At 38.9% G+C, this 11926-nt stretch overlaps 1 annotated feature.

Annotated features, from left to right (window-relative positions):
• Window positions 1140-1340: a silencer, noted in NCBI's record as "peak2225 fragment used in MPRA reporter construct". NCBI's record gives its function as "represses an SCP1 promoter by STARR-seq MPRAs in K562 erythroleukemia cells {active_cell/tissue: K562}" and the evidence as "EXISTENCE:reporter gene assay evidence [ECO:0000049][PMID:32103011]".

An 11926-nucleotide genomic window follows, 5' to 3' on the forward strand; every position in this document is an offset into this window, starting at 1 on the left:
TGAGCCTCATAAAATAATCCTAATTAGCAGATGTGGTGATTAATTTTAGGTGTCAGCCTCACTAGGTCACATAGTACACACGCATTTGTTTAAATATTATTCTGGGTTTATTTGTGAGGGTGTTTCTGGATGAGATTTACATTTGAATGTATAAACTGAACAAAGCAGATTGCCTTCCCTAATGTGGTTGGGCCTTATATAATCCACTGAGGGTCTACGCACAACAAAAGGCTCAATAAAGAAGAATTTGCTTACTTTTCCTGACTGACTTTGAGCTGAGACATTGGTCTTCTGGCTTCAGACTTGGACTCAAACTGAAACGTACCTTATTCTCCTGGCTCTCAGTCATTTGGACAAAAATGGGAGCTGCACATATCATCAGCTCTTCTGGGTCTCCATCTCCCCAACAGCAAGGTTGTAGGGCTTCTCAGCCTCCCTAACTGTGTAAGCTACAGGCCATTCCTCATAACCTCTCTATGTATGCGGAGAGAGAGAGAGAGAGAGAGAGAGAGAGGGAGAGAGAGAGAGAGAGAAACAGAGAGAGACAGAGAGAGAGAGAGAGAGAGACAGACAGAGACAGAGAGAGAGAGAGACAGAGAGACAGAGAGAGAGACAGAGAGAGAGAGAGACAGAGAGAGAGAGAGAGAGAGAGAGACAGAGAGAGAGAGAGAGAGAGAGAGAGAGAGACCTGTTGGTCCTGTTCCTCTGGAAGACCCAGACTAATACAGTAGAATTGTGGTGGGAATTGGTGGGTTCTTGGTCTCATTGACTTCAAGAATGAAGCTGCAGACCCTCGCGATGAGTGTTACAGTTCTTAAAGGTCGCATGTCCTGAGTTTGTTCCTTCTGATGTTCACATGCGTTCGGAGTTTCTTCCTTCTGGTGTGTTCGTGGTCTCGCTGGCTTCAGGAGTGAAGCTGCAGACCTTCACAGTGAGTGTTACAGCTCTTAAGGTGGCGCATCTGGAGTTGTTCGTTCCTCCGGGTGGGTTCGTGGTCTCGCTGGCCTCAGGAGAGAAGCTGCAGGCCTTGGAAGTGACTGTTACAGCTCATAAAGGCAATGTGGACCCAAAAAACAAGCAGCAGCAAGATTTACTACTGAGAGCAGGAAACAACAAAACTACCACAATGTGCAAGTAGACCTGAGCAGGTTGCCACTGCTGGCTCAGGCAGCCTGCTTTTATTTCTCTTATCTGGCCCCTCCCACATTCTGCTGATTGGTCCATTTTACAGGGAGCCAATTGGTCCATTTTACAGAGAGCTGATTGGTCCGTTTTGACAGGGTGCTGATTGGTGCGTTTACAATCCCTGAGCTAGACACAAAAGTTCTCCACTTCCCCACTAGATTAGCTAGATACACAGTGTCCACACAAAGGTTCTCCATGTCCCCACCAGAGTAGCTAGATACAGTGTGTCAATTGGTGCATTCACAAACTCTGTGCTAGACACAGGGTGCTGATTGGTGTGTTTACAAACCTTGCGCTAGATACAGAGTGCCGATGGGTGTATTTACAATCCCTTAGCTAGACATAAAGGTTCTCCACATCCCCACTAGATTAGCTAGATACAGAGTGTGACACAAAGGTTCTCCAAGTCCCCACCAGAGTAGCTAGATACAGTGTCGATTGGTGCATTCACAAACCCTGAGCTAGACACAGGGTGCTGATTGGCGTGTTTACAAACCTTGAGCTAGACAGGAGCCCAGCTGGCTTCACTCAGTGGATCCTGCACTGGGGCTGCAGGTGGAGCTGCCTGCCAGTCTCGCGCTGTGCGCCCGCACTCCTCATCCCTTGGGTGGTCGATGGGACTGGGCGCCGTGGAACCGGGCGCGGCGCTCCTCTGGGAGGCTCGGGCCGCACAGGAGCCCACGGAGGGCGGGGAGGCTCAGGCATGGAAGGCCGCAGGTCCGGAGCCCTGCCCGGCGAGAAATCGAGCGCAGCGTTGGTGGGCCGGCACTGCTGGGGGACCCAGCACACCCTCCCCAGCCGCTGGCCCGGATGCTAAGCCCCTCATTGCCCGGGGCCAGCAGGGCCGGCCGGCCGCTCTGAGTGCGGGGCCCGCCGAGCCCACGCTCACCCGGAACTCGAGCTGGCCCGCAAGCACCGCGCGCAACCCCGCTTCCCGCGCGCAGCCCCGGTTCCCGCGCACAGCCCCGGTTCCCGCCCGCGCCTCTCCCGCCACACCTCCCCGCAAGCTGAGGGAGTCGTCTCCGGCCTCGGCCAGTCCAGAAAGGGGCTCCCACAGTGTAGCGGCGGGCTGAAGGGCTCTTCAAGCGCGGCCAGAGCGGGCGCCAAGGCCGAGGAGGCGCCGAGAGCGAGCGAGGGCTGTGAGGGCCGCCAGGACGCTGTCACCTCTCAGAATGGCAAGTATTATTTCATATTATTCCAGTTTTATAAATTGACCAAATCTAAATAGTAAAGTTGACCTCACAATGTCCACCTACATTTCTTTGAAAAGTCACTTGATGTGGTAACAAAGAAAGGCAGCCTCCATTCGAATATTCTCCATCCTTACTCAGTGTTATAAGCACATATATATAATTCCATATCCCCAAGTGTTCTTGAAGGGTCTGCTTTGTTCTACGATGTGCATGTAGTGGTAGTGGACATTAAAGAAAAGCGTTTCAAAATTTTATTAAGGAAACTCACATATATGACTTAGACCATTTCATAGAGTTCTTTTTTATTAATTTCATTTTTCCCCTTGAAAACATTTATTAGAGGAAAAATCATTGGAAAAGTTAGGCTTAAAAATACTTGGTCATTAATAAAAGACATTTTAAGACAGTTCTTTTGGGGAAAAATGCAGTCTAGGAAAAGAGAATACTTTTTATATACCTGAACGGGCAAAAATGATTTAATAGTCTCCAAAACTTAAACAATTTATTGGCTTATAGGCTTAGAGCAATAAAATGTTATAACATTGTGTATTATTATTCCTGGAATAGGAAATGGGTGGAGTATGGTCTATTCCTGTGGAAAATGAGTGCAGAGAAAGACAGGATGGGGTTGTTTTAAGAGACAATGTAAGAAGTATGCAGATGACTTACATTTGCTTCCAATTAATTTTTATTTAGCTTCTTCCAATATTTGGACTGTTTCTCAAACATTTGATTATAAATCTCGGCTATTTATACAGAAAATATAAACATGTCAATAAGTAATACCTGTGTGTAAAAGCATTAAATGACCTAGGCAACACAAACACATTATAGGCTATTGGGGCTCCCATTTGGAATTCATTACATATGTGAAAAGAGGGAAGGAACTCAACTATGTACTATTGCCTGGAAGGAAACTTTATATAACTTCGAGACTTGAAATAGAGAGTGGAATGTGTCAGGGGTAGGGAGCAGGGGGAATGTTTGGCAAACAAGATACTCAAAGAAGCTGGTGAAAAGAATTCAGGAAAGACAAAAAGGAATTGTCAAAGATGTTGCTGTGGATTACAAATTAAATCTCCTTTAATGTTCTTTGATAGTTGTAAGTGAAGACAGGAATGTTTTGAAAGTACTTTTGCTTGCTGGATTGTATTCCTTTGACTATTTCATGCTGAGTCAAAGCCATGTGGGGGTTATAATTTACATACGCTGAGGTTAAATTCTGTAGGGTACTGCTATGGTAGATAGCTAGTCAGGTATAAGCAGGGCGGGAGAGGGCTCCCCCAACGTATACCAGGAGGGTCAGATGACCATTAGGTGATGGTCACACGGTTGTTAACTGTCTCTCCAAAATAATAATTGGTCACAGCCAGTGCCAGGGACACACAGTCTCCTAACAGAAAACACCTGAAACTTGTGATCGGCCACTTCCCCATAAGATCTCAGGTGTTGGGTAAGTGGGGAGAAGTAACGCAAGACCCCGAAACTATGCCAACATAGAAGACCCCAAGTCAAAAGAGGTCAGGCCGTGCACTCGATCTCTCAAATCACCCACTTGGACCTCTCTGAAGAGTACTTTACTTCTTTTTATTCTTGTTCTCAGGCTTTTTAATAAATTTAAACTCATGCTCTAAGATTTGCCTCAGTCTCCCACTCTGCCTGATGCCCCTCAGTCGAATTATTTTCTCTGAGGAGTCAAGAATGGAGGCTGTTGCAGACCCATATGGATTTGCCTCCGCTAACAGTACAGCTCATGATTTTGAACCTGAAGTATTTGGATCCAGCTAAAAATATTTACTCTGAACCTGAGCCAAGTATATGTTCACTCTTATGGCCTAACTGTTGAAACCCTTCCTGTAATGGAGAAGAATCAGACAGGAGCCACGACAGTAGTTCTTAGAAAGCTGCATTGATGTCACAGAGACAATATGCACATGACACTAAAATAAAAATAGGGGATTTTTGTAGAAGAAAGATAGGCTTATGAGATATTAACTGAGTTTACCCCACTGGTGAAATCTGAAAACCCTCTGGTGAGAATGATGATCTCAGCAACCTCCTGCACACATCCTTTCTTAAAAAATTACATGCCCTTGGCCAGGTGCGGTGGCTCACACCTGTAATCCCAGCACACTGGGAGGCCGAGGTGGGTAGATCACAAGGTCAGGAGAGATCGAGACCATCCTGGCTGACATGGTGAAAGCCTGTCTCTACTAAAAAATACCAAAAATTGGCCGGGTGCGGTGGCGGGCGACTGTAGTCCCAGCTACTCTGGAGGCTGAGGCAGGAGAATGGCGTGAACGCAAGAGGCGGAGTTTGCAGTGAGCCGAGATCGTGCCACTGCACTCCAGACTGGGCAACAGAGCGAGACTCTGTCTCAAAAAAAAGAAAAAAAAGAAAAAAAAATTACATGCCCTTTCAACAGCAAGGAATGGTCAGTGATTGACTTGTGAGGGTTGGCTTGAAGAATCAAGACTCCAATACCAAAGAGCAGACACCCTTCACTACCGCGTCTGTGGAACTGATGACCTGTCAAGGCTTTTACCACCCATAGTAACTGGAAAAACCCAGTAGATCAAAAATAGTTTCATCACCTAAGAACGGGTCGACAAGTGAGTGATGTATAATTAATATTAGCACTCCAGGTGGGGGCATTTTCAATGTTTATCTGGAGCATATAAACCGCAGAGAATCACATCTCATTGTTACAACCAGCTCTTCAGAAACAACTGCTGTTATGCTAGAATAAGCATATAATCTACATGTTTCACTTTACAAACCTATTATTCCCATAGAATTGTATATTAAAATCTAGTATACAAAATGATCGAAGCGAAGGGAAATGTTGGCTGTTCAGTCTCTACTCTGCCTCATTCTCTTTCCAACACAGACATTAAGGCACCTCAAAAAACTGCTTTGGGACCCAGTTAAGCATATTTTGAAAATCACAGGTCTAAACCATTCCCTTCTAATTTTCTGAATACCAGTCATTTGGTGCCAAATTATTAGGCAAAGCCCTAACCTCTCATTTAGTAAGCTGACTTCTCCTGTGGGAACAAACATATTTTTCATTTAATTATTGTGCTTCTTTCACTAATTAAATGTCTTCAATCATTAGAACAACAGTTCCCAATTACTGAGCGCATATTATTTGCCTGCCAGTCCTCAAAGTCCTGATCACATTATCTCATTGAATCTTCACAACCTATAAAATATGTAATACTGTTATATTATAATAACTTTTCCAGTTTTCCAGATGAGACAAATAACTCTCAGAGAAATTATGGCAATTATGCAAATAAATAGAACTTGCGATGTTCTAATTCGGTCAGGGTTTTCAATCCAGGTCTTTGAAACTCTAGCGCCCACCTGTATAACCCCCACCTGCTGCTGCCACCACCTTTGTTATAGTTTCATACTTGGGATACTCATTTCTAATTTCTGAATTGGGATTTTTGTTCTTTTCCCCCATATGCTGCTGTTTTTCCACCACTAATTTTATCTTAATATATTTATGTTTACTCTTGAAAATTCGAACCGTAAGTAACACACCCCAAATATATCCTCAGAATATGTTAAAGGCCACTTGGGTCAAATCATAACTCAGCACCTTGATGTCTGCTGATTAGCATGAGTGGCTGCCACTTGTCTATCTTGATAAACTGGTTCCTATAAAGGATAGGTCTGTTAATGCACAAAGCACTCTGGATATTGTTTGGCCTGGGCAATCATTACTTAACTTGCGACACCCATGATCTTTCCCAGCTTTCATGGAGAAAAATATACACATTTACCAACTTTTTGCCGCCCCAGCAAAGCTTGCTAATCAGGTGCAGGTTTGGCTTGTTTTCTGGCAAGCTGGAAGCAGACTTTGTGAGTTCTCTGCATTCCTCAGACTCACTGGAGGGTGCACCTGGCCTTAGTTAATTGGGTGAAGGAGTTTTGCCTGTGAGGTGAAAGGAATTAGTGACAGGTTTCCTATTCTCTTGACCCCCTGAGGTGGGATAAAAAGCTTGACTGGCTCCCCAAGTTTACAAGACCAATTGGGGAAAGACATAATTAAGGTAAAGATGGTGTGGCGTGAAGTTTTTCTCTTGCTTTGGGTTGATAAAGGTCAAGTAACACAATTTCAGACAAATGTTGGGTTAGCTGGCTTTATTTTTAATATTAAGCTAGCAAGCAGTAGAGACAACCAACTACATCATTTAGCACCACTGAGTTATAAATTTGCCATTATGTGATTTAGTTGAATGATGTTGAATAGGTCTTATAAAGTTTATTGGAGTTCAAGAAAGGAAACCATCACACCTGGCTAGCTCTGACATAAGGGAAAGTGCCTTGTGGGAGTTGGTTAGACCTTCTAATATGATCAATGGCCTGATGTTACTCAGCAGAAAGAAATAAAAGACTTGACTTGGAAAGTGTGTTAATTCTTTCGGGCTATTTAGTATAATTTAATGCACCGTAAAGCGCCCCAGGGTATTGAAAGAGTTAAATTCCCTAGACAAAAAGAAGAATTACTCCCTTTTTTCCTGGAAAAATCTGGCACACATGTATAGAAAGAACTTTATTAGCATGGGTATTAAAATTGGTTTCACTATAAGTGATTTTCCTAGGCCCCATTTCTGTGCCATCTGTCTTTTTTTTTTCTTTTTTTTACCAGTAAAAGCAATAAAATGTACACATTCACTAAAAAGAAAAGAGTAGGGTTTTATGGCATTCAAGGGTAGTTAAAATTCTGCTCTTTTACAGAATATAGCTTGATCTTTCTGAATACTGTTTTAATAACTAATTTCTAATATATCTATTGCAAATTGTCCATAGTTTATGTTAATGGTCACCCAGACAAATTGGGTAAAAACCATGAACAAAACAAACTCCAAGTAATGTAAACAATAATTACCACTGTGAATACAAAGGGCACTTATAGTTTTGATATAGAAAGGCGAATCACAACAGATGAAACACGGACATGAAATAGTGTTAACCTTGCCTTCATGGTCTACTTATAGTAAAGAAAAAAAAAGCACTCAAATTAATGGGAATTGAATTTTGCCAAGAAAGGCTGCGAACTTCCTGGCCTTGGGGTCTAATCACAATAGAAAATCACTGGCGATAAAAAAATGAAAAGAATCAATCAGCCATGACCATTGACATTGCTTTTTGCTAATAAAACACCCCCCTTAATTCAGGCCAACAGGCCTCCTACCTCTCCTTATCTGTGCCTTTTCCTGGCCTTCAGTTTCTTTTATGGAGTTTTCTTTTTTTCTATACTTGCTTATCTTTCAAATTTGTAGCACATATCCTTTTAAACTCTGTAAGAGTGGCCCAGTTTTCTTTTGACACTCATTATAGTATCCTCTAGATTTGTTGCAAAATTATATTAAACACTACCATGAAGAAATATACCCTACATGAAGAAAGAAAGAAATGAATTGGGCCCATTTCTGTTTAATGTTAAAGATTTGATCCTCAGATAATTTGGATATGTCATTTGCTAAAATCTTGTTGCCTAGAATATGTCATTCTGTGATGCTAGTATTATTCTGAACCAAACCCGTTTAATGCATTGATCCCAAAATCATTTTTTAAATAAATAAGGAGCATTACGAATGTTATTCAGCAGTGAAAAGTCAAGGGCAGAAAACTTAACTTTCCTTCCTGAAGATGTTCTTTGAATAGGAGATAGTCAAAGGTAGAGCTTAAAATAACATATTATTGATTTTCCTCTGCCATTAGATCACAAGTATTTCATTCGACTGCATGTTTCACGATTTACCAGAATGCAATGGCATTCTGTTTTTAAAGCCTTTGTGCTCGATTACCTAATTTGATCTGCAGAACAGATCTGTACAGTCAGTTTTTCTGAACCTCAATTTTCTCTGTCCTAAATAAGCATGAGTAGCCTCCCACGCCTAAAAACTTGTTGAACTGCTGAGCAAACTCATGGGTCCAGAAATGGCCTTTCCGCTATGTTGCGCTGTTAGAACCACAAAACTAATAACGTGTCTTGATATTTTAAAAAACAATACTTAGAAAAAGCCAATTTAATTTTTTATAAATAGCATAGGTAATATACAGCTATTGCAAAATAAATAGAGAAAGCAGAGAAATAAAAGGAATAATCATCCCCATATGTCTTCATCGAGACACAACTACTGTTAATATTTTCTTTCTATTCTTTCACCTGTGCATTTGTGGTATGTGACACAATGGTATATTTTCATTTTTGTATTCTGATTTTTTCCACTTAACATTGTAATAGAACTATATTATGGTGAGAAAATCTGTTTGTAAATTTTGTTTTAACTGCAACTTAGTAATAACAAGCACATATATCAATGTCTATTTCACAATTCTATATTTGGACACATAAAACATTTTTGAGTTAAGTACAATAAATGAACACCTTTGTTCACATAGTGCTAAATAAATTGAAGGGTGATTGCTTATAATTTTCTAGGGGTAAATTTTGCCAGTTATGAAAATAAACTTTTTAAGTCTGTTGATTTTCAAAATTGTAAGACAGAGTAATCGCTGTCTTTTAAGGCTTACGTTCAAATCTCAATTCTATCTCTTATTCTTGTAGAACTTTTACCAAAATACTTAATTACTTTGTGCCTCAGTTTCTTCATGTGTAAAGTGTTGATAATAGAGATCATATAAGCCATAAGAGATCATATAAGCCATCACTATACAAGTTAATACAGGCACAAGACTTAAAGTGATGCTGGCATCTATCAAGTGTTCAATAAATATTACATAGTATGTACTCCAACAAGTTTATATAAAGACATTTATTATACATTCCCCTTGACATCATAGTGCTTGCTATTTTGAATTAGGATGTTAACGTGAATGTTGTATCTCAGTCCCAAAGTAAAACAATCAACCAAGGAAATACTAAAAGGTACACAACCCCTATAAGCATCTCACCTTTATGAAGGGAGGTAATACAATTGATATTCAATATCGACTTTCTCATATGTCAGATATCTACATTTTTGTGGATTGGTTCCTGGCTTTCTAGTCTGTTTAATTGGTCATTCTGTTTTTTCCTTTGCTATTATCACAATCTTAATTGTAATTATTATTATTTAATATCCAGTGTAATATTTCACCTCAGCTTTGAGAGTTTCTTGGCTCTTCTTAGACCTTAGTATTTCCATATTAAATTTAGAATTAGATGCCAAGTTTAATTTAAAAATAAATAAAAGTACAGAGATTTGGCTGAAATTGCATTTTGTAAATAAAACAATTTGGGAATATTTGAAATATTTGTGACAACAATCTTCCCATACATGAAGAATTTACCGAAAACTTAAATAGTAAGTTGTTCATCTATATTGCTCTACTAGAGAAAGGTTATTAAGCTCTTATTAATTCTAATAATTATATTTATTTCTACTTAATTATATCATGTATATATAGGAATCATGATAAAACTTTAGTTTCAATCTTCATAACCTTTATGTATGTTTCTTGTTTTCTTGCATTGGCCAGTCGTGGAAGAATAGTGGTTCTAAAGCAAATCCTTCCATTATTTCTTATCTTAAAGAAAATGCTGCCCAAGATTTATTATTACAATACCCAACACCACTAGACTGCAGACAACCTTTTTGGATTAAGAAGATTTGCTTCTATTCATACTTTTCTGTGCTATTTTAACGTTAAGAAAACTTGAATTTTATCATATTTTACTGTCTATTTAGATGATCATATGATGTTCCCCTGTAATCAATTTGTCTAGTGAATTATATTAATAAATTGCCCTCTCTTAAAGTAATCTTTCATTTCTTGGACAAACTCAACTTGGTTACAGTAGTTTATAAAATTAAGAACACTGTTATTGTACTTTTTGTCAGGATTACTTCATTGCTTGAGAGAAATTTGCTCCTAATTTTTCTTTCTCTTCTGTCTTTATTGAGTTTAAAAAATTATTATTTAAATGTCAATGAAATAAGGTTAGAAGCAAAAAATGTTTAGTATCTGTATTAGTCCGTTTTCATACTGCTATAAAGATACTACCTAAGACTGGTTAATTTATAAATAAAAGAGTTTTAATTGACTCAGTTTTGTATGACTGCAGAAGACTAAGGAAATTTACAATCATGATGGAAGGCAAAGGAGAATCAAGCACCTTCTTCACAAGGTGGTAGGAGAGAGAGAGTGCAAGGAAACTGCTACTTTTAAAACCATGAGGTCTCATGAGAACTCCCTCACTATCATGAGAACAGTGTGGGGGAAACTACCACCATGATCCAATCACGTCTGTCCCTTGATATGTGAAGATTACAGATCCTTCCCTCGACACATGGGGATTACAATTTGAAATGAGATTTAGGTGGGACAGAGCAAAACCATATCAGTTTCTTCCTGTGTTGTTATTGTGAAATAGTTTCTGTTCAAGTCAAAATATCTATTTTGTAAATGTTTGGTCGATATTACCACTAAAAACATATGATTTCCTCAAAATATGTATAGGGCCATTTTTTGTGCCTTTTTATTTGTTTGGTTGGTATTATTTTGTTGGTGAGAAAATATTTATCTATTTTTCAAATTAATATAGGGTTTTTCAAATTTCTCAACTTTTCTTGAAACTATTGTAGTGATTAATGTTTGGTGACTTAGATAAGATTCTTATATGTTACCAGATTATTTAAATGTTTTGCAAAAAGTTGTTCTCAATATTTGCTTATTAATTTTTTTAATAAACACATCTCCTATAGTTATATCTTTCTGATTTAAATGGTTCTTTTGTTCTCGTCTTCTTTTTTTCTGAACAATTATCAGAAGTTTTTCAAATTTATTAGTCCTTTGAAAGAACCAACAGTTGGTTCTGTTGGCTTTATTTTACATTTTTTTTTTTTTAATTTCAGTAGTTTCTCCTTTTTTCCGAGTTCTTTTTGTTATAAATTTTAAGCTTATTTTCATTTTGGTCAGAAGCTTAATCAATATTCTAGAAATACAAGAGAATATTAAGAACAGAAGATGTCACTCATTATTATTTGCCAGAAAATCAGTATTGAATCTAAAAGGTAATTTTGCATAGACATATTAGGTAGTGGTACTAATTAATAAAATATATTATTGATCTATATATGATTTTATGTTATTGTCTCAGTGCTACAAGCATAGATGTAGGTGCTATGTCCTCATTTAGTATTTCCTTGGTTGATTGTATTTCGTTGGTTGATTGTTTTACTTTGTGACTGAACTACAACATAAGAGAAAATGAAGACATGATCCCTGATTTGAAGACACTGATCATCTTGGCTGCCTATTATTTGCTCTACCCAAAGGCCATATCCCACTTTAGGCAGAAATAATAAATGGTGGTACACTCCAGGGAACCTTCTCCCACATCACCTACCTGGCCCCCTGTATGGTCTATGTGTCTAACAAGGTCTTTGATTGTTTTTAAGCAACCCATTCCTAATTATGTAAAGGATGGTTACTAATCCACATTTCTGTTTATTTTTTACTGTATATTTTTGAAATTAACACGTAATTCAGGCATGCCTCATTTTGTTGTGCTTCACTTTATT

Source organism: Homo sapiens, chromosome 14 (assembly GCF_000001405.40).
Source record: "Homo sapiens chromosome 14, GRCh38.p14 Primary Assembly".
NCBI lineage: Eukaryota > Metazoa > Chordata > Mammalia > Primates > Hominidae > Homo > Homo sapiens.